At 50.1% G+C, this 22,614-nt stretch overlaps 1 protein-coding gene across 6 annotated transcripts in view, besides 4 other annotated features; it reads left to right on the top strand.

The window, feature by feature from the left end:
• The window catches only part of SYNE3 (spectrin repeat containing nuclear envelope family member 3), a 109,385-nt gene that overhangs the window by 63,992 nt on the left and 22,779 nt on the right, over positions 1-22,614 (top strand). For 2 of the 6 annotated variants that reach the window (NM_001384281.1, NM_001384282.1), the window contains exons 7-10: positions 276-412; positions 2,554-2,728; positions 6,568-6,750; positions 8,031-8,544. In NM_001384281.1, the coding sequence (NP_001371210.1) occupies positions 276-412; positions 2,554-2,728; positions 6,568-6,750; positions 8,031-8,189 (654 nt within the window). In that variant the 3' untranslated portion in view covers positions 8,190-8,544. Of the gene's footprint in view, positions 1-275; positions 413-2,553; positions 2,729-3,042; positions 4,632-6,567; positions 6,751-8,030; positions 8,545-9,369; positions 9,505-12,583; positions 12,746-12,874; positions 13,048-13,496; positions 13,627-15,677; positions 15,840-19,249; positions 19,400-20,541; positions 20,581-22,614 lie in introns of those variants that run through there. The other 4 variants (NM_001384284.1, NM_001384283.1, NM_001363692.2 and 1 more) reach the window with 3 other exon arrangements.
• Positions 108-157: an enhancer, noted in NCBI's record as "active region_8959". NCBI's record gives its function as "activates an Ori minimal core promoter by ATAC-STARR-seq in GM12878 lymphoblastoid cells {active_cell/tissue: GM12878}" and the evidence as "EXISTENCE:reporter gene assay evidence [ECO:0000049][PMID:35858748]".
• Positions 548-1,340: an enhancer, noted in NCBI's record as "H3K4me1 hESC enhancer chr14:95917656-95918448 (GRCh37/hg19 assembly coordinates)". NCBI's record gives its function as "activates a minimal SCP1, AML or CMV promoter by ChIP-STARR-seq in naive H9 embryonic stem cells {active_cell/tissue: H9 hESC(naive)}" and the evidence as "EXISTENCE:reporter gene assay evidence [ECO:0000049][PMID:30033119]".
• Positions 12,903-14,102: an enhancer, noted in NCBI's record as "BRD4-independent group 4 enhancer chr14:95904894-95906093 (GRCh37/hg19 assembly coordinates)". NCBI's record gives its function as "activates an origin of replication core promoter dependent on BRD2, P300/CBP, MED14 and CDK7 cofactors, and independent of BRD4, by STARR-seq in HCT116 cells {active_cell/tissue: HCT116}" and the evidence as "EXISTENCE:reporter gene assay evidence [ECO:0000049][PMID:35650434]".
• Positions 21,046-21,185: an enhancer, noted in NCBI's record as "active region_8958". NCBI's record gives its function as "activates an Ori minimal core promoter by ATAC-STARR-seq in GM12878 lymphoblastoid cells {active_cell/tissue: GM12878}" and the evidence as "EXISTENCE:reporter gene assay evidence [ECO:0000049][PMID:35858748]".

Raw genomic sequence — 22,614 nt, 5'->3', positions numbered from 1 at the left:
GAGCTAGTGTTTGCCATGGCAATGCTGGGAGGTAGGGGGCAATAAAGAGCAGAACTGTAGCCCAGCACCAGACAGTAAAGGCTGAGTTCCAGGTCATGGAGCTAGAGATGGGAGGGTAGGGGCTGAGCTCAAGAGTGGGGCCCCAGTTCCTGCCCCTGGTGACAGTTTCTTCCTAGCCTAGCCCACCTCCACTGGCCACGCTCACCCTCCTGCACACACACACTTATCCTGTTGAGGAGCCTCACCTCCCGCTGCGGTGTCGTCATGTGCTGCAGGCAACACGGGCGGCGCTGGCCTCGGAGGAGCCCCGGGTGGACCGGCTGCAAGCCCAGCTGAAGGAGCTCATCGTCTTCCCTCACAACCTGAAGCCACTCTCTGATAGTGTCATCGCTACCATCCAGGAGTATCAGAGGTATCTGGGAAGGCCAAGGGTGGTGGGACTCAGGGTGTGCTGGAACCCACATTTCCCCATCTCCAGAAGGCGGGCTTGCTTTCTCCTACAACATAGTAACTTCTAAATCATTCTTTGTACCTCTCAATGACTGGCTTTTAGAGGTTCTCACTTGGCTCAGACACTGTCCCCTTTGACTGTTTTGCATTTGCTCCCAGAAAGAGGCCTGAACTTTGCATTTATCCAGGCTAGTGGCTCAGCCACCCATCCTATCATGACTCTTCATGCAGGTTAGCATTGGGGAGGGGTGATGGCCCAAAGGGAGGGCTTTTCAATAGACAGACTCCATTCCCCTGCCTTCGGATGCTGACTTCAACATCTGAGCCGTCTCCAGACCAGCCTCCACGTGTCCCTCAGCCCCCGGGCTCAGGCACAGCAGGACCTCCAGCTTCCTAGTTTAGCAAATGCAGCAGCCCTGTATCCTCCCTGTGTGGAACCGAGCAAAGTGTTGATTTGAAATCTGTTACCTGTCTTCACTGCATGAGCCTCCGAGGTGTTCTGAACATGGTACAACTGTCCACGCAGCTGTCGTGCATCTCCTACCTCTGCCTGGTACAGGGAGCTCCTTCAGAATGAACAAAGGGAGCTCCTACCTTTGCTGTGTGGCTCTCATCCCACAGCGTGCTCAGGCCTACATCTATAAAACTGGGGCAGTGGCCTGGATCCCCCGTGGGATGCTAAGGTAGGGGTCGGGCTGGGGTTGGGGGGTTGGATTTCCTGTGCACAAAGTAGGCAGGGAGACAGAGTGGCCAAGGGTCTTCCTCTCCCTCTGGTTTCTCTCACTGAGATTTCAGGTATTGGTTTCCTATGACTTGGTGCTGGACATTGTGTTTGAAAAATTATTCGTAGAAATTAAATGGGCCTAGAATGACGGTATCTTACTCAAGAAAGGGTTTTGTTTGCTTCTTCCAGGTGCCTGGGGGCAGGCAGGACTGGTCTAGGGTCTCCATAATTTATCTTCAAGGCTTGTATTCCTTGGTCATGAAGCTGGGCCATCCGTCTGTTGGACTGGCTTGCTTGCAGTGCACTTTTATCCTGAGGGCATGGACCTTTGCGATCCCAGCTTCATGTGAGGTGCTGTTTTCAGAATCTGCCCATTTTTGATAGACCCTTATCCTGAGTGGCTGCCAAAACCCTAACTCAGTTTTGTAGCTATTTCTTCCAGATTGGCAAATGCCCTCAGGGTCAAAGTTGGTTAGACTCACATTTCTATTATTTGTTTTTTAAAACTTTGATCAAGCAATTTTTTCATCTTTTGTTTTTGTACTCAGTGGGAGGGCCAGTCTGAATGAATTATTTTTCCGTTACTGGAAGAATAATGTCTCCATGTGTCATCTCATCTAACACTTAGAATGATTATATGAGAGGAGCACTGTGTTGCCTATTTCATAGGTGAGAAAACTGAGGCTTGTTAATATTGAGCCACTTAAGGTCATATAGCTGGCCTGTCTGGCTCCAAACTCCCAGCTCTTTATACCTACTATAGAATCAGAGAACACTCGTGCCTTTTATTTATTTATGTATTTATTTTGGAGACAGGTGTCGCTCTGTCACCTAGGTTGGAGTGCAGTGGTGCAATCACAGCTCACTGCAACCTCGAACTCCTGGGCTCAAGCAATCCTCCTACCTCAGCCTCCCGAGTAGCTAGGACTACAGGCATGCACTATGATGCCTGGCTAATTTTTAAATTTTTTTGGGGGGGATGGGGTCTTGCTATGTTGCCCAGGCTGGTCTCGTACTCCTGGCCTCAAGTGATCCTCCTGCTTTGGCCTCCCAAAGTGCTGGGACTACAGGTGTGAGCCACCGTATCCTGCCCATGAATGTAAATTATATGAGACTACAGGTCCCAAGGAGCCCCAGTGTCTGTCCTCAGGAAGACCCCAGGCCTGCTGCTGATGCCTTTTCATAGTGATATTAATCAAAGTCCCTTCCAGCTACATCTTCTGTCTACTGCTGCAGACATTCCCAGCAACTGAAACAGGAGAAGGCCCACCCTGGGAGCAGTGCATGCTGGGCCTCTTGAGGGTCTTGGCGGAGGCCTCATCCCTGGACTGAACCCACTCTCTCTCCTCCCTCATTTTCTCCCTCCACGCTCCTTGCAGCCTGAAGGTGAAGAGCGCGAGGCTGCGCAATGCCGCGGCGGTGGAGCTGTGGCAGCATTTCCAGCGGCCTCTGCAGGATCTGCAGCTGTGGAAGGCCCTGGCCCAGCGGCTCTTGGAGGTCACTGCCAGCCTGCCGGACCTGCCTTCCCTTCACACCTTCCTGCCCCAGATCGAGGTAACCGTGGTCCTGCCAACTGGGTGGGGCTGGGGTGGGCCACTGGCGGGGCATGGTGTTTCAGTCTCTCTCCCAGGGGAAGGTCCGTTTCCGGGTCCTCCGGATATCTGGGGAGAGCTCACTGCGCCCGGTCTGCTGAGTCCTGGTGCACAGGGAGCGTCCATGCTTGCTTGTTACACTGACAAAGGTCAGCTCGGCTCCTGGGGGTTAACCCGGGGCTCCGTACGGACGCTCCCCACCCGCAAGCATCTCCCAGGTGGAGGCATTAGCACTCCTGAGAGAGCAGCGTTCTCAGGCCATTGCCTTTACTGCAGCTCCAAGTGGCAAGAAACCTGACCTGACCTGCGGTATCTTAAAACAGCGACATTCAGGCAGTCCAGGGTGCCAGGCCACAGCTCAGTGGTGTCACCAGGACCAAGCCCTTTGTAGTTCTAAGCCAGGTCTCGCCTCATGGCCCCAGCATGGCTGCTCCGGCTCCAAACGTGCATCTCCCATGAACAACAACTGGCTCCGGATGGAGCCGCGGATGCACAGGGCTCTCTCCACCTCTACTTCCGCCTTTCAAATCTTCCCCTGACACCCGCACACTCCCCTCACATCTCATTGGTTGGTCAAGGTCATATGATTGATTATTCCTGGCCCAATCATCGGCAAGGATGATGGGATTACCGTAACTGCTTTGTACCAATTAGACTCAGTGCCTCGGAACTGAGCACTTTGCATCCCAAAATGCTGGTTGTTTGGGAAGAGAGAAGGAGGTATGGCTGTGGGATGAGCAGAAGACAACATCTTTCATGATGCCCGTCACTGTGGTGTCCCCAGTGTGCCTGTACATACTGTCTCTGGCATCATTGAACTCTGAAGTCCATAAAATGATTTTGTGTCTAGAGATTCTTAGACACAAAGAGTGGGAAAAGACTCAAACGTGTGTGAGATGTATAATCATTCTGATTATAAAAGGCACACCTACTTGGAGAGTGTAAAGGTGTGTGAAGAAGAAAACAAAAAGCTCCCATTATCCCACAAGCCACAGGGATGAACATGTTGGGGCAATTTCTCCATCCCCTTTTCTGCCACCTTGGTATGACCGAGGAGAACCAATAACCAGGGTTGGCCCCTGCTCACCCTTGGGTACACTACTTGGCCATGTGCCTGCATTTTGAAACGTCTACCCTTGTGATTTTCCGCTTGGGGCTTACATTGGGACAATAATTTGTTTTCTCTCTTCGTGGCTTTTTGTTTGGAGACGAAGTCTTGCTCTATCACCCAGGCTGGAGTGCAGTGGCGCGATCTCAGCTCACTGCAACCTCCGCCTCCCGGGTTCAAGAGATTCTCCTGCCTCAGCCTCCCAAGTAGCTGGGATTACAGGCATGCACCACCATGCCTGGCTAATTTTTTGTATTTTCAGTAGAGACGGGGTTTCATCATGTTGACCAGGCCGGTCTCGAGCTCCTGACCTCAAGTGAGCTGCCTGCCCCGGCCTCCCAAAGTGCTAGGATTAGACAAGAGCCACTGCACCAGACCTCTCTTAATAGTTTTTAAGCTGCAGGGCATGGCCTTTCTTTCCAAGGGTCCAGTGGGCCCCTTCTCCCAGCCCTATGCTCCAAAGGATGGTGGGCCATCTTTTCTAGGTACTCCTCAGGGCATCCTGGAGTGAATTTCATATGTGTCACAAAACTCAATTTTAGATCAGAAGATCCCAAATCTGTCCTTTATATCTGATTAAATCCATTTAGATATTTCCATGAGATATGGTCACCAAGAGACAGAAGATTTAATTACAATTTTTATGTATTTGGGATCAAGTTCTATAATTGTATATTCTGATATTCTCACTCCACACATTTGAGCTTTTGTTCTCAGCATCATTTAAAATCATTCAAATAAAAGTGATCATTTTCAATGGCTGGATCATATTCTGTTCTGGAGTGTGACATAATTCGGTGTATCCACAATTAAAGGCTTAGGTTGTTTCTGATTTTTTATTGTCATAATTCACATATTTTGAATATCTATGCACAGGTAGTTTTATTTCCATTTCTACTATGATCTTTCTTATTTTGCAGATGAGGGATCAGAGCCAGGGAACCTATTTGACAAAAGAGGAAACTGAGGCTCAGATCTGCCCATAGCTTCCCAACTAGTACATAATCCAGACTCATGATCTCAAGTCCCCAGCCTAAACTCTTAACTCCCATGATATTGTGTCTGAGCTTGGTGAAAAGGGGGTAAAGGTGACTGACTCCCCTACAGTGAGAGGCTTGACCTCTGTGTGACTGAACACAAGCTAGATGCCCTGGTGTGCAGGTCATGCCAGTACAGCTGTATCAGCTGTGGTTACACTGCCTCTTCCAGAAACACCTGCCCTTCAAGGCCTGTCTTCAGTACTGCCTTCTTCAAAGTAGTACTCGATTTCCCCAACCAGGAGTGTCCACCTCTGCCTTGAACTCCCACGGCACTAGCTCCAGCTTTGCTTAAAGAATGACCACTTTCTTGGCTGGGCACGGTGGCTCACGCCTGTAATCCCAGCACTTTGGGAGGCCGAGGTGGGCGGATCACGAGGTCAGGAGATCGAGACCATCCTGGCTAACACAGTGAAACCCCGTCTCTACTAAAAAAATACAAAAAAATTAGCCGGGTGTGGTGGTGGGCGCCTGTAGTCCCAGCTACTCGGGAGGCTGAGGCAGGAGAATGGCGTGAACCCAGGAGGTGAAGCTTGCAGTGAGCTGAGATCGTGCCACTGCACTCCAGCCTGGGCAACAGAGTGAGACTCCAGCTCAAAAAAAAAAAAAAAAGAATGACCACTTTCTGTCTTGTATTGAAGTGACTTACCTGGGTTGGAATCTTTGTTCTTTCTCTCCCAACCCCGTGCCTAGCTCAGTGTTTTAAGTCTGAGAGTGGGTTCTCAGCAACATCATCAGGTATAAAATGAAAGAACTCTGGGCGAAGACAAAACCTGTGGCTTCCAGAACCCCAGACTCTCGATTAGAAATGCAAGAGGTGCTTACCTGAAACAGCTGGAGAGGCAACAGGAGTCGGAGGCTTGGTTCAGGCTCTAAGAGTTGCAGGGCTTTGGGGGCAAGAAGAGTGATTGTAGGCTGGGAATGGGGTCAGGGAAGGCTTCCTGGAGGAGGTAGGGCCTGGGCTGCGCAGAGTTCGGGCTATATGGCAGCCTGCTGCCATTGTAGGAGGCCTCTGAGCCCCCTTAGTTCTCCTCTTTGCCTGGCAAACTCCTGCACATCAGTAGTCTGCTGAGTATCACCTCCTCTGGGAAGCCTTCCTGAATTCTCTCTGAACATGCTCCTACAGGCCTGTAGCTCCCTTCAAAATGTCCAAAACACTGTTGCAGATAGCGCTGGGGGGTGTGTCCACTGTTGTTGGTGACGGGGGATCACTGAGTAGAGGATCAAGCTGGCTGGGTCTAGGTTCTGCAGCAATGTGGTGGGCCAGTGGTGGGGAGCCAACTAACTGGGAGGCAGCAGCCATTCAGGAGCTGTGTGGTCCAGGTGCCCAAGGCTGAGGGTGCACTGCAGTCGGGGCAGAGGCCATGGAGAGGAGACAGACTTTTGAGGCCTGTAGGAGGTGGATATTACTCAGGCTTGAGTATCAAGACAGATGTGGGAGGGGAGAGAGGAATCAAAGTTGACCCCGAAACTCAGGGCCTTGCCAGCGCATTCCTGCCAGCTCATTTTGTTTCTACTTGAGTTTGCTGCTTCCTCAGACACCTGCACAAAGGTGAGCTTCCTAAGCAGTTGCAGCCAGAACAGTTGTGCCCCTGGCTCTGTTTCTGAGCTGTGTCCTGCCCGGTCTGTGGTTCACGGAAGCCTTGTCTCCCACAGGCAGCCCTGATGGAAAGCTCCCGCCTGAAAGAGCTGCTGACGATGCTGCAGCTGAAGAAAGACCTCCTGATTGGCATCTTTGGCCAGGAGAGAGCCACGGCACTCCTGGAGCAGGTGGCAGGTTCCATGAGGGACAGAGACCTGCTGCATAACAGCCTCCTGCAGAGGAAAAGCAAACTGCAGGTGTGCAGCACCAGGCATCTGCTCGGGACTTGGCTTGGCCACGGGGCTGGAGCACCCACTGGGGAGGCAGATGGCCTTATGTTCTAAACTCAGCTCTGCCGCTTGCCACTGTGTGGCCCTGGGTGTATCCCTTTGTCCCTGACCATCTCAGCCTCCTCATGTGTAAACTGGGTAGGATTCTTGCATGGTCCCTCTAACTGGTTTCCTAGCCACCACCTGTCTGCCTCCCAGCCCTGTCCCCAAACCCCCTGCAATCAAATTGAATCCAGTCCAGTCTTCTGCAGAGAGTGACAGGAGGGTCAAATAAGAAAATGGTGATAAAAGTCCTTGTAAAATTTAAACCACCCTGGAGCTGGAAGCTCATATTAGTGACACATTTCAAAATGACTACACTACATCAATGACATGGCATGGCATGTTGTGGACAGCTTATTCTTTTAGGTAACAAATGTTTGCTGAGCATCTAATGATGATGACAATAATAACTATGATCTATGGGGCACTGGCTATGGGCCAGGGCATTGCTAAGAGCTCCAGATCCTTGATCTTATCTAATCCACATAAGAGCACTATGAGGGAGGTACTGTTATTTTTCTCGTTTTACACACGAGGACACTGAAGCAGAATGGTCAAGAAGGTGGCTCATGGTCCATATGGGGTACAGCCAGGACCCAGCCCATGATTTCAGCTCCCGTGCATGTTCCCTCCATCCACAGGGCCTGGTGCAGTTCTAGGAGCTGGGGGGATGAAGAAAGGAAGCCAAGGTCTTCACCCTCAAACACTCACAGCTTTTGCTGGTAGACACAAATAAGTAGGCAATTACTAGAAGACATCAAAGTGCTGTTTTACAGCAAGGGTTGGCAGACTGTTTCTGTGAAGGGCCAGACAGTGAAGGTTTTAGAGTCTGCAGGGCAGGCAGTCGCTGTCGCAGCTCCTCAGCACCACCACTGCAGCTATAAATGTATGGGCATGGCTGGGTTCCTATAAAACTTTATTTACAAAAACAGGCCTCTGGTGGGATTTGGTCGGTGGGTGGAGGGGTGTAGCTTGCCCCAGTTCTGGAGGGATGTGGCCAAAGTGTTCTGTGAGGACGCTGTAGTGACCCTAAGGAGAGGCACCCAACTCCATCAGGGCTCAGGGAAGGCTTCCTGGAGGGGGTGGCGCCTGAATGAGCATGAGCTGGCCGAGACGAAGAGCAGCCTGGCTGAACGGGTCGGGTCTCACAACACGGTGCTCATGAGGAACGCTCTTAATGTGCACACTGTCCTGTGTCTCTGCAGAGCCTGCTCGCTCAGCACAAAGACTTTGGAGCAGCTTTTGAGCCCCTGCAGAGGAAGCTCTTGGACCTCCAGGTCAGGGTCCAAGCCGAGAAGGGGCTTCAGCGGGACCTTCCTGGAAAACAGGCCCAGCTCTCAAGGTTGCAGGTGAGGGGTCTGTGAGGCCTGAATCACTCCTGCCCAGGTGCTCAGCTGCACCTGGAAGCAGCGTCTCCCTCTAGCAGTAACCAGCAAAGCAACAGCTGCCGTGAGCCAGAAATTTAGACCCTTAGTTGAGATCTGACCTTTCACCTCAACAGAACCTCTGCTTATTTATCTGATGGTTCCTGACCTCAAACAACTGAGTCTTGAGCTCAGCAAAATGACAAACTGTCTTTCTGTTTACTCCTCAGTTCCAAAGTCTAACATTGGTATTTGTTTTTAGAATTGCTTTGCTAAGTATTCTTAATGAGTCCAGAGGTGTTCAGTTAAACCAACTTTGGGATTAAGAATAAATGTTCTGAAACGTGGACTGTAAGTAGGCTGACCGTTGATCATTGTTGGCTGGATAAGGAACTTGATGGTTTTTTAAAATGCGCGTGATACAATAGTTCTCTCTTTAAAACCCAAGCACAGCTCATACATAAATTGAGAGTGTTCTCTAGAAGACATTAAAAATAGTGCATTTTAGGCCGGGAGCGGTGGCTCACGCCTGTAATCCCAGCACTTTGGGAGGTGAGCAGATTGCCTGACTTTAGGATTTTGAGATCAGCCTGGGCAACATGGTGAAACCCTGTCTCTACTTAAAATAAAAAATTTTTTTTAAAAAAGCAAAAAATTTAGCCAGGCGTGGTGGCGGGAATCTGTAACCCCAGCTACTTGGGAGGCCGAGGCACCAGAATCACTTGAACCCAGGAGGCAGAGGTTGCAGTGAGCCCACATTGTGCCACTGTGCTCCAGCCTGGGCGACAGAGTGAGACTCTGTCTCCAAAAAAAGAAAAAAAATAGTGCATTTTGGGTTTTAAAACTAAAATTGGGACGTGTTTCCTCATAATGAGAGGTGGTCATCAAGTATGAGTCCCAATGTGAGTTTGTCCCCAGAGATGCCATCTGTCTTGTAGCAGAGTTTATTTTCATGGTGTCCCAGAATATTTTTGTCTGATTTTTAAAATCTCTCCAGCCCTGAGAGTGGGCCCATCAGACCAGCCATGTGGTTGGTACTTCCGCTGGTATGAAAGAGCCCCACCGCCTTGGGGAATTCACCCCTCCCAGGCTCTCCCACTCAGAGGCTCTGCCCTGATCGGCCACCCCAAGGGAGGGAGAGGTGGGAAGATTAGCCTACCTGTTCCCTTCTCTACTGCAGGGGCTGCAGGAAGAGGGGCTGGACTTGGGGGCACAGATGGAGGCTGCAAGGCCTCTGGTCCAGGAGAACCCCAACCACCAGCACAAAATGGACCAGCTTTCCTCCGACTTCCAGGCCCTGCAGAGGTCTCTGGAGGTAAGGGGCTGGCAGAAGGGCCTGTGCTTTGACAGAGAGCCGGCCCCTGTCATCCAACACGCCTGGGGCCTTTCTTCCCCTTTCCTGCCTTCATTCCTTCTAACCTCTCTTTTTTCTTTCTCCCTGTTTTCTTCCCTTCCTCATTCATACAACAGACAATTATTGAGCACCTCCCATATGCCAGGCAGTGTTCTAGGTGGCCCTAAGGATGGAGGTAGCAGAGCATGACAGCCCAGGCCCCTGCTCTCCTGGGAGTTACGCCCCAGTTGGGTAGATGGACAATTAATCATCAAGCAAACAAGCCAATGCACAATTACATATTGAGATTAGGGCCAAGCGGCAAAAGAAGAGAGCAGGCTGCTGAGATCCTTAGGCAGCCCAGAACACAGGCGGCCTCGGGTCCCTTGCAGCCTGCACAAGGCCTGGAGGCCACAGAGCTTCATCGCCAGTGCCCTCTAGTGGCCACCTCAGCTCTTTCTAGGGTTTGTCCAGGATTCAGTCCCCTTCCAGCAGTAGGGATGGAACTCAAAGCTCCTTCAAAACTGGCCTGAGGACAAGTGGAAATGCAGACTCCAGGCCCCACTGTGACACTGATTCAGATGGAGTCCTGGGTCTGCCGTTGTAACAAGCCCTGAGGAGTATAAAGCAGGGTCTCTGGTGCTCACACCTCAAGAAAACCCAGTGAGGCAGTGAGAGCTCTCCCTCCTACCTGACATTGCACGCCCTATTTCATACCAAACATTCCTAACCTCCTCTTTACACTCCTGAAATTCATAGGGAATATACCCACCCAGGAAATAGAAAAGAGAAATCAAAGGAAAGTAATTATAATACAATATTGTCCAATATGTAAGTACTCCCAGATGGCCACACTCAAGACATAAGGAGGTGGTCAGAACGTGCCCTCCCTGTGTGACAGCCGCAAATGCTGTGTCAGGTGGCACAACCATCACGGCCTCTAGTGATGTGGTTTTCTGAAATGGGAACAACGCTTGATAGCACTTTGATCAAACCCAAGAGCAGTCTTCCATCCACTTACACAAAGGGTGCAGCTCTAGAGAAGTCAGTATGTTTGTTAAAACTGCAAAATCTTCCTTGTGTTTGTGTGTTGATTGGAGTGACAGTCTGAGCTCAGGTCATGCCAAGCAGGTTTTTTACTGCTGTAGATATTAGGAGGACATGAGAAAATCGTGTGGGATGTGGGCAAATTCTGCATTTGTGGACTATCCACCCCAGGGTGGAATGCGAGCACCCATCCCTCTCACTCCACCTAGTATCACCCTCACCACCTCTATCGCAGCAACTGCAAACCCTCCCCACCAGTTTCCAGGACATAAGGCATCACCTGTGGAGCCCCATTGGTGTAAGTGACGATTAATGTCTGGTTGAATTCATTTAATTACATTCAATAAACTAGCAGTTAGTAGTTTCAAGGTCGAGGCAGTAGAGAAATAGGACACACTGTCCTCACTCCTCAGGAGCCCATAGAAACCCGTAGAAGCAGCAAAAGTCTCCTAATACCTCCATCCAAATGATGGGCTAGATTAGTCGTTACGAGAAGCAGCGTTAACTGAGCATCACTCGGTGTTGCAAAATGATGATATTCCAATTCTTATTGATTGTTTATATTCTTCTTTAAAGAGAAATTGCCCTTTTATTATTTTGGTACCCAGTGCTTGTTAATCTAATATGTCCTTCCCCACAGCGAGGCAGTCTCTGTGTCCCCCTGGGGGGCAGGTATCTGATGTTGGAGATCACAGCTCTATGTACGGGAAGCCCTTGGAGGCGTCTGGTCTAATGTTGGCACACAGGGACCAGGAGGGGACAGTGGTAGGGACAACTCAGAGAAGTGGAGTTTTAGATAACTTCTCAGGCCCTCATTGATGGCTCACTGAGGACAGAGGCAGCAGTCTCCCCAGCCCCTGGTATGGGCCTGGTATCCAGCGATCTCAGTCAGTGTCTGTGGAATGTAGAAGGCAGGGCCTATGGTAGCCCTGCAGAGAGTCATGATGACCTTATTCAAGGAACACAGCTGGAATGGGAACGGCAGGCCCTGGGGTCTGACTGGTTCATGGCAGGCTATGTAAAGAAAGCTCCAAGGGTCTCAGGCTGGGTGGCCAGAGGCATAGAGAATGGCTGCCCTTCTGGGGACAGTGTCCACCTTTCCTGGTGACAGAGAGCTGAACAATAGATTGGCCCAGGAAACAGTACTCAGGAAAAAGAACAAAGAAAGACTGAACGTGAATATCTGAGTGTGCAGCTCGATTACTTTTTTTAAAAATTAAATGCATCTGTGTTACCAGCACCCAACTAAAACACAGAATATTACCAGCCTCCCAAAGCCTCTGTGCCTGCGGTCATGCCCAGCTCACCATTCCCGACCCTCAAGGGGGGCTCTGACTTCATGCTTCCCGCAACATAGCTTGGGCTTGCCTGATGTTATCCTTCATTTAAATTGAATTGGACAGAATGTTTTCTTTTGTGCCTGGCCTTTAGCTCTCCAGATGATGGTTGTAAATTCATCTGCTGTATTGCATGTGGTTATAGACTGTTCATTCTTGCTGCTGTAAAACATTCCATTGTGTGAATATACCACCGTGTATTTATTCATTCTACTCTTGATGGGCACTTGGATAGTTTCCAACTTGGGGCTGTCACATGTATGACCTTGGGTGAGGATATGTTCCCATTTCTGGGACATACACCGGGAGTGGAATGGCTGGGCCATCAGCTACAGCCACGTTCCATTTGGGTAGATTCTGACCCGTGGTTTCCACAAGTGGTTGAGCCAATTTACACTTGGATCAGTGGTGGACAGGAGATCCAATTTCCCCCACCCTCACCTAGACTTGGTCGTTTTCCTAAAAGTAAGATAGGCTTTAAACCAGATTTGATCTTCCAAGGGTAAATTCCTTGTGCTGTGTGGAGGGAAGGGCCAGCCCAGCCTCTTGTGGTGCTACTTGGTGGGGAGCCCTGGGGTCCCCAGCGGGTGTGAGAGCCCTGCAGGGTGGGGGTGGTGCGGGGGTCTCCCCCTCGGCCAGCACTCAGGATGCCCTGGGCTCCCCGGGCTGTGCTGCAGGACCTTGTGGACAGGTGTCGGCAGAGTGTGCAGGAGCACTGCACCTTCAGCCACCAGCTGCTGGAGCTGCGGCAGTGGATCGTTGTGACCACGCAAAAGCTGGAGGCACACCGGGGAGAGGCGGGCCCGGGGGATGCCGAGTCCCAAGAGGCCGAGTTTGAGGTAAGGCGGTGGTTCCCTCACCCACTTCCCAAAGAAGCAGCCTTGACAGGCCAACGTTCCCACACCAAGGAGCAGAAACCTCCCTCCACCCTCACCGTGTGTGTGTCTGTGTGTCCGTGTGTCCTTTAGAGGCTGGTGGCAGAATTCCCGGAGAAGGAGGCCCAGCTGTCCCTGGTGGAAGCGCAGGGCTGGCTGGTGATGGAGAAGTCTTCTCCGGAGGGTGCTGCCGTGGTGCAGGAGGAGCTCAGGGAGCTGGCAGAGTCGTGGCGGGCCTTGAGGCTGCTGGAAGAAAGTCTGCTGAGGTGAGAGTGCCTCCTAGGCTCTGAGCGTTGTCTGGGACACTGCCCCTTCTCACTCAGGGACACTCAGGTGCTCGTGGAGCAGAGGGCCAGGGTGCTGCCCAGTGTGGAGCCAGGGGCCGTGGGCACCTTCACACTTTGGCCCAGTTGGCTATTCTAGCAGGAGCAGGAGGAGCCAGGAAATGTCCCCGTCTTGGGAGTTAGCCTCCAGTCTATACTGGCTTGAGCCTCAGTTTCCCCATCTGCATCTATGGGCGTACGCACGTTCATGACAGGTTACTCTGAGTTTAAAGTCAGAAACCGGATGTGAGCATGCCTCAGGAACATTCTCACAAACTTCAGTGGGGGGCACTGACTCGTGACCCGTGGTTCCCCAATTCTATTACTTTTCCCATGTCCTGGTGGGTCCCCACCACATCTCTGCATTGACTGGGCTGAGTTTGTCTTCTCAGCCTCATCAGAAACTGGCATCTGCAGAGGATGGAAGTGGATTCGGGGAAGAAAATGGTTTTCACCAACAACATCCCAAAGTCAGGATTTCTCATCAATCCCATGGATCCTATTCCCAGGCATCGTCGACGCGTGAGTCTGTCTAGCAGGGCTGTGGGAGAAGGGGCCAGGCCCCAGGTCAAGAGGTGGGTAGGGGTCTCCAGCACAGGCCCCTCCCTGTCTGGGGCAACATGCTCTGCTCTGAGGACTTGGCCACGTCCTGTCTCATTTGAGCCTGCCCCAGCTGTGGCCAAAGAGCATTTGATCCTACTCCACAGAGGACCTCAGAGATCCCAGAGTCTGCAGAGCCAGGCCACCAGGGCAGTAGGGGTATCCCTTAGCCAGTCAGATACTCACCTCTGTGAGCCACTAGCAGCAGCTCCTGCAGGGAAGAGAGTGTCGGGGCTGAAAGCTTCCTGCTGGCCCCAGATTGGAAACCGAAACCATACAAGATGGGAAAACTTTTCTGCCATGTTTCATCCATCCCTTACTGCCTCTAAACAAACTTGAGCTTTGTGGAAAAGAAAGTTATTCCTTGTTATTCAAATACATCAAATTATTCATTTTCCCATTCATTCTTTCATCCACTCCTCCATTTGCTGAGTGCTACTTTGTTCCAAGAACTGTGCTCAGAGCTAGGATACAGCCGTGAGTAACGCTTCTGACCCTCAGAGAATTTGGAATCCGGCATAGAGCTTTTCAGTGGGCACACAGCCTTGTATTAAAATGCAGGTTCTGGGCTGGGTATGGTGAGCTACACCTACAATCTCAGAACTTTGGGAGGCTGGGAGGCCAAGGCAGGAGGATTGCTTGAGGTCAGGAGTTTGAGACAAGCCTGGGCAAGATAGCAAGACCCCATTTCTATAAAAAATATTTAAAAATTAACTGGACATGGTGGTGTGCTCCTGTAGTTCCAGCTACTCAGGGGCCTGAGGTGGGAGGATCACTTGAGCCCAGGAGTTTGAGGCTGCAGGGAGCTGTGATTGTGCCACTGCACTCCAGCCTGGTGACAAAGCAAGACCCCATTTCAATCAATCAATCAATCAACAAAAAATAATGAAATAAGATAAAATGCAGACTCTGAGTTAGTAGATCTGGCTAGGGCCCACAATTCGATTCTGCATTTCTAACAAGCTCTCGGGATAGGCCCATGCTGCTGGGCCCGGGAGATACTCACCTCTGTGAGCCACTAGCAGTAGCACCTGCAAGGGAGAGAGCATCGGGGCCGAACACTTCCTGCTGGCCCCAGAATGGAAACTAAAATCATACAAGATGGGTCTATTTTTGTGCCATGACTATATTTTATAAAAGAAAAAAAAAAGAACTAACTACATTGTTTTACCCATCACTTTCCCTTACTGCCTTTAAACAAACTGAGCTTTGTTGAAAAGAAAGAAGCAAGGGAGTGGCATCCACAGGCTGTTAAATAAGGATTTACAAAAAACAAAAAACAAACAAACAAAAAAAACATGGTGCACCTTGGCAGACAGGCCAGAGGCTATGGGAGCCTGCAGCAGTTCCTAGGTCCAGGACCGGGAAGCCTCTCCTGGAAGATAAGACATCTCAGCTGAATTTTCACGGCTGAGTGGCAGTGAGGAGAGGAGGGAGAGAGGTGTGTTCCCCACAGAGGAGACAGTATGTGTGAAGAGCAGAGGGAGAAATTCGAGTGCCAGTTTGAGGGGCCAAGACACATCTGCAGGCCCAGGCTCAGAGGACAGGGAAGACAGCATGCGCAGTGGAACCAAGACTCCCGGGTCACACTGGGGAGTAGTGAGAGGCACCAATGTGGATAACCAAGAAGTTAGCTGAATGGGCTTGCATCATAGACAGAGCACTCCGGTCATGGAGCCCCGAGGGGGCAAGCATGGTGGAAGGGTGACTATTTGTATAGCCATCCTGGTAAGAGATGGTGGTGGCTTCCGTCACCTCTCAGGGGACCAGAAAGGGGACAGTGAGGAATGTTCTTGGCCCTTAAATGTGACCATGTTGAGTAGAGATTCATTGTTCATCCCCCAGGCCTCTCCCGTCGCCATTTTGGGCATCTTGTCCTGGTCCCTGCCCCTCTGCCTCAGGTGGAATTCCCAGGACACATGGCCAGGGGGGCTCTTTCACCTCTGACGCTTTGGCCGTGTGTGATCCTACAGGCAAATCTTCTACAGGAAGAAGAAGGGAGCCATGAAGATTTCTCCCAGCTCCTGAGGAACTTTGGGCAGTGGTTGCAGGTGGAAAACTCCAAGCTGGTTAGAATCATCGCAATGAGAACTTCTACAGCTGAGGACTTGAGGACCAGAAAATCGAAGCTGCAGGTCTGTTCCCCAGGAAAGGTCCCTCATCCATAAGGTTTGCACCCACAGAGGCATTTGCCACCAGGGAGTTCTTCAAAAGAAGGAACACACCCACAGTTTGTGAGCTGTTCTCCCTTGTGTATAGATAATCGCTTTTAAACTTTTTTGGTTCAAAGATTTTAGAACTTTTTCTGGCATTCATTCGTGTGTTCAGCATGCTTATGTAGTTCCCTACTTGGAAAATATCACCACTAATCACTTGACTCCTGTCACTTAGCTATTGCTGTGTGACACACCATCCCAACAGTTTGTGGCTGATAACAATAACTATGTATTTAACCCATGGTTCAGAAGCATGGCAGGTTAGGCTGAACTCAACCGGGCAGTGCCTCCAGTCCGTCTGCTGTCAGTTGTAGGTCAGTTGGGTGTCTCTACTTCTAGGGGCTGGTGGGCTATTAGAGATGAGAATGACATGGACTACACATCTCGTATACTCCTGTGGCACAGCTTGGACTTCTCATAGCAGAGGCAGGGCAGAAAAGAGCAATAGCAGCAGGCAAGGACTTTTGAGGTCAAGACTAGGAGCCAGCATAACATTAATTCCCCTGCATTCTGTTTGCCAAAACCAGCCTAGAGTCAAGGAAAGGGAAAGAGACTCCACTACTTGATGGAAGGGATGGCAAAGTCATATTGCAGTGGGTATGGATATGGCTGGGGGGAGGGAGATGGGGAAAGTCACAGCCATTTTTGCAACTGAACTACTACTTCTCTCCTGTCTTCTTCACTCCCACATCTAATCAGTTGCTAAAGCTCCTTGATTCCACCTCCTAGATATTTTGTGTTTCTCTTCCCTCGCACTACCATTGTCTTAATTTAGGCACTTACCATTTTTGGCCTTGACTATGGCTGTAGCCTCCCAGCTGATCCTCCTTTCTTCCTGTTGGGTCCCATCTAGGTCATGGCTCATCCTGCAGCCAGAATAACAAATATGACCCTGTCCTCCCCCTAATGAAAACCTTTCACTATAGAGTTTAACCCCTGAGTTTATTATTCAAGGCCATTCTCAACCAGGCCCTAGCTCACTTCTGTTTCCCTATTTTTATGCAATCTTACCATGATATGTTTAGGTTTGAATTTCTTTTTATTTATCTGGGTTGGGATTCATTTTAACTCCCGAATCTGTGGTCTAGGATCTTTCTGGAAAACTCTCTAACCTTATTTTTTTTTCTCTTAATTCCCAAACTTGTTACTTGTATTTTTTTCTACTAACAATCTTTCTTAAAATATCACCTCTGCCTTGTTCCCTTTCTCCTCTCCTACTGTGATATCATTTAAACATATGTAACTACTTCTCACTGTGTGCTTTATGTCTCTTACTCTCTCCTGTGTATTTTTCATCCTTTTCTCTCTTCGTTTTGCATTCTGGATAGTTTTTCTGATTCATCTTTCAGTTTACTAATTCTCTCTTTAGCTGTGTTTCATCTTCTGTTACACGTGTCTACTGAGTTCTTAACTTTGGTTGTTGCAGTTATCAGTTCTAGAACTTCTATTTGGTGCTTTTAATAATCTACTCTATCATTTTTCTTATCTTTTTTTTTTCTTATTTTATAGCTCCTGTCTTAACTGAAACTCTATCATTTTTCATACCTTCCAGATACTTGCTGAAATTTTTAAACCTATCTTTTAATTATTTGAACATAGTAAACATAGCTTTTTACAGATTGTATCTAATAATTCTAACATCTCAAGGCATTTTATGAATGTTTCTGTTGTATATTATTTCTGCCTGTTCTTACTCTTGGTTTCTTGTGTCTTCATGTGGCTGCTTTGTGTGCTAGACATTGTGTTTGCCAAAATATGTATAAGAGGGATTTAAGATTTAGGATAGGCAGGGCACGGTGGCTCACGCCTGTAATCCCCGCACTTTGGGAGGCTGAGGCGGGTGGATCACCTGAGGTCAGGAGTTCGAGACCAGCCTCAACATGGAGAAACCACGTTTCTACTGAAAATACAAAATTAGCTGGGCATGGTGGTGCATGCCTGTAATCCCAGCTATTCGGGAGGCTAAGGCAGGAGAATTGCTTGAACCTGGGAGGCAGAGGTTGCGGTGAGCCGAGATCGCGCCATTGCACTCCAGCCTGGGCAACAAGAGCGAAACTCTGTCTCAAAAAGAAAAAAAAGATTTAGGATAATCTTTTCCTCCAGAGTTGATTTTATTTGCTACTGCCAGGCGAGTAGGGACCTTTCATTCTGGGACCACTAAATCCAAGTTCAAGGCTTGAGTTTCCCTGGTCTACTAAGATGACTTTGAACTGGGCTGCAAGTCTACACAAGGTCCAGGTTTACTTCTGGTTCATTTTTAATAGGGTGAAGGCTTTAGGAGCTCAGCAAAAGGGTGAATGAACCCTATCAGAATCTCTACCTCTGCAGGCCCCAGACTTTGGCCTTTGTCTCCCCAGCCCAGTGAGGCTGCCAAAAGCAAAGATGTTTTACAGCTATTCCTTCCAAATTGGCAAATGTTCTGTGGGCAAAAGCAGATCTGAACACAGCACTGACTGCCCTGGGTTTTCATTCTTTCCCAAGTTGTGGCCCGGTGTGCCTCACATTCTTTTGTTAATACTTTTATGCCTTTAAAATGCTTTAAATATTTTGTCCTTAGTGGGAGGTTTGGTCCCAATTATCTAGTTGGCCATTACCTGGAAATCTTCCTTGCCTGCCTCTCCTGTCTCATATCTGGCTACTCCTCTCATTCCCCCCACCGCACCACCACCCAACTCCAGCCATATCAGAAATGACTTTCCGTTCCTCAAGTTAAACCCCCTTGCTTTTTGTACAGCATACATTCCTGTGGGCTCTGAGAAGCTAAGCAAGGTGTCCCATATTACATGCTAGTAGAATGGGGCAGAGCCAGGATCCAAAGCCAGGATTTAAAACTGGGCTCCCGGATTTATAGCCCCGCTCCTACTGCCCCATCACACCACCTCTCAGGAGTCCTGAGAATAAAAGTTTCCATCCCAAGGGAACACAGTACTTCTATTTCCTGAGAAAAATCTGCACATTAAAACACCATTCTGCCAGGCTCAAAATGCTAACAGAAAGACATGTTCACAATGACAGCTTTTAGAATGATGCGAACTCTAGTCAAGCCCTCTGGAGGACTTGGTCCTGGAATGTCATATTTGGAAGTGACCACTGGAGGTCTGCAGCCCAGCTGCCCGTTCCATGCAGGAGGCCATCCTGTAGCATTCCTGAGAGCAAGGGCTAGGCCTTGGCTTGAATTGCACAGATGGGAGTCCCACTTTATGGATTCTGTCTGCCTCCTCCCTGCCTACCTGTCTGTCAAGTGAAATTTGATGGACCCATCCTTACCATTCAGGTGGGGCTGTCTGGGCCATTTGGAAGCCGCACCATGACGCTGCTGTTTCCCCCAGGAGCTGGAGGCTCGGGTGCCAGAAGGTCAGCATCTCTTTGAGAACCTCCTTCGTCTCGGGCCAGCAAGGGGGACCTCGGATGAGCTGGAAGATCTGCGCTACCAGTGGATGCTGTACAAGTCCAAGCTGAAGGACTCTGGCCACCTGCTGGTAGGTGCCAAGGATGTGCAGGTCCCAGATTCCAGGGACAGGACTATAGCTGGGCCGTATTTGCCTGGGGATACAGTGCTAAGCCTGCATCCACCCTGCCCTGTGCATTCACACACCAGACAGTGGTGACCACTCAGGCAGAGGACAGGGACACTCATGGGTTCTGGGCACTTAGGTGACGCCATTTGGCCATCCAACCACCTCATGAGGCTGAAGTCCCAGTCAGGACAGCAGTGACCTCATAATTAATGTGTAAGGAGTGCTTCCTATCTCCCAAGCCGAGGGCCCTGTGTGCACCGTCCCATTCAGTCTGTACGGTTCCCCTCTGCTCAAGTCATTGTATCTCCAGACTGCAGAGGGGAGCTGAGACTCCAAGCAGTGAAAAACCTTGCCCGAGGCCGCGTGGGTGGTCAGTGGCAGAGCCAGCCTGCAGACACACCCGTGTGTTGTAGGCGTGACCTGGGGAAGCACTGGAGTGGCATCAGGAGCCCTGGGGTCCAGCCCCATGTCTCTAACTTGCCCTGTGTCTTAGTTGAGCAAGCACCTTCCTTTTCGGGGGCCCCTGTGTCTCCTCACACCAAATAATAATAATAATAATAATAATAATAATAATAATAATAATAATAGCAAAACTAGTAATGATCATAACCTTTGCTCAATGCTATGTCCTTATAACAGCCCTTTAAAGGAGGTGCTGTTATATGCCCTGTGAACCAATGAGGAAACTGAGGCACGGACATTAAGTTTCCTAGGTCCCTAAGTCTGAGGAGGGTGGTGAGCTGGCCCTTAAGGGCCCTTTCAGCCTCAGACCCCAGCCCCAAGCTGGGCGCCCCAGGCTTTCCTGGCCCGGGAGCAGCCGAGACGGCCACTAGGTGTCAGCCCAGCCCAAGCCAGGTTGGCCATGGCCCCCGCCGGCCTTGGCCACGGCCTTTCCAGACAGAATCCCAGCTGGGCCTGAAGTGTGTTAAAAAGCTCATTAAATCGAATCATCTGCTGGCTCAGGCTGTCCAGATGACCAGAAGTTTTAAAGAAACACTCCCCTGACAAAACGAATATTCCATTACAGGCTCTGTTGGGATTTAAGTTTCACTCACTTAACTTATTTTTTTCCCCCCTTTTCCTCTCCTTCCCTAAAATAACAGACACAAAGTTCTCCAGGGGAGCCGACTGGATTCCAAAAGGTACAGTGTCTGCCATCTGCTCCACACGGCTAGCAGGCAGGGTGCCTGGAGGGTTGGTGGGCCCGTGACACTGGGGCAAGACTCGTGGGCTTTCTGGAAGGTTCCAGGAAGACCAAAGAACATTTATGGGGGATCAACTCTGGGCTGCGCTGTGCTGGGCCCCAGGATTCTTGATTTCAAGAAGCCCCAGGCTTGGGGGGAGGCTGGCAGGGTGTGCAGAGTCCTCCGCTGGGACAGGCACATAGCAGAGAGGGGATCTTGGAGTTCACCCTCCTAAATCAGGACACGCTGGGGAGTGGACAAAGATGCTACCAATGATTATGCTGTGACAGCAGGTGTGAACCGGGACTGTCCCAGGAAACCTGGGTTGTTGCGGGCAAACTGGACGGTGTGGCCACCCTGGTGATGGAGAGTCTATGGGGCTCGGTAGGGACAGGAGAGGGAGGGATTGTGCCTTTGAGTTCTACTAGGCAGGTGTTTCCACTTACCCTACTGAGCCGTGCTCAGAGTCACTCCCAGGGTCTTTGCAGGCTGAAGCAATAACAATAACAGCAGTAATAACGACAACAATGAGTAATAGGTATGATTATTACTCGAGATGCTATGTATTGGCCATCCACTGTGTGTGCCAGGAACTGTGCTAAGTTGTGGTTAGGGCCTCTCCTGTAACTCTCCCAGTGACACCTAGGAGGCAGTATAATCTCAACTTTCAGCGCGAGGAAACAGAAGGGGCAAGCCTGAAGTGACTTGTTCAAGGAAGGCCTCAGCCCCTCAGTGGTCTCTGGCCTCTGAATCCAAAACTCATGTTGTTAAACTTCCACGTTGTGACTTGGAGAAGACTTCCCTGGGGCCTGGGGTGTCTCCCCATTTCTGGAAAAGCCAAGTGTAAATCGGTGTCTCCTAGTGCCACTGTTTCCAAGGGAATGAATGCTGTGTTTTCCTGCTAGGCATTGGCCCGTAATGACACGAGCCTCCTCCGGCATGCTCTGATCCAAGGAGCTCTGAGTTCCTTGAGATCTCTCATTCTTTGGAATCTGTGTTTCCTAGAAATCTGTGATTTCTTCTTGGCCTCTGGCTGGTGTCATAAGTAACATCTATAGGAGAGTGGGTAACCAATGGACTGGGCAGGGCAGTCACAAAATCAAGGCTGGGCTCTGGGCCCAATACCAACTGGCTTTGTGGCTTCGAGGGAGTTGTTTGGCCCCTTGGGGTTCACTTTCCCCATCTATAAAATGGAGCTTTTTTTTTTTTTTCCTTTGAGACAGAGTCTCCTGTCACACAGGCTGGAGTGCAATGGCACAATCTCAGCTCACTGCAACCTCTGCCTCCCAGGTTCAAGCAATTTTCCTGCCTCAGCCTCCCAAGTAGCTGGGATTACAGGCATGCGCTACCACACCCGGCTAATTTTTGTATTTTCAGTAGAGACGGGGTTTCACCATGTTGGCCAGGCTAGTCTCAAACTCCTGACCTCAGGTGATCCACCCTCTTCGGCCTCCCAAAGTGCTGGGATTACAGGCATGAGCCACTGCACCCAGCCTAAAATGGAACTATTAATGGCAACCTTATTTACTTCATGAACTTATTTTGAAGATCGTGTGAACTGTTGTATATGAAAGTAGAAATGCTTCTGATCACTTAAGCCCTGCCCCCAACACCCCCCAGTTTAGAATAACAAACACACTTCTCATGAGAAAGGGAAAATCATCAGGAAAGGACAGGTGCTCTACACAGGCCAGCCTGGTGGGTCCTGGTGGGAGACGGGGGACCTAGGACCTTGTGTCCAGACCGACTCTAGCTCCTGCACTTTAAGCCTCTCTCTGGTTGGAAGCCCCCACCTATGCAGCCCCTAGGCCAGGATCCATGTGGGTGTCAAGTCTGGTCCCCCTGGTGTCTAGCCATGGTGCCTAGCACATAGTAAGTGCACACTAAATGTTTTTGAGTAGTGACATTTGCTGGCTAACACCAGCCCTCCAGCACAGCCTCAGGTTCCTACAACCTGTAATTAATGTGTTACTGTGGTATGTTCACAGCCAT

Source organism: Homo sapiens, chromosome 14 (assembly GCF_000001405.40).
Source record: "Homo sapiens chromosome 14, GRCh38.p14 Primary Assembly".
Taxonomy (NCBI): domain Eukaryota; kingdom Metazoa; phylum Chordata; class Mammalia; order Primates; family Hominidae; genus Homo; species Homo sapiens.
Note: the sequence above shows the minus strand (reverse complement) of the source record. Positions and strands in the feature narration are given on the sequence as shown.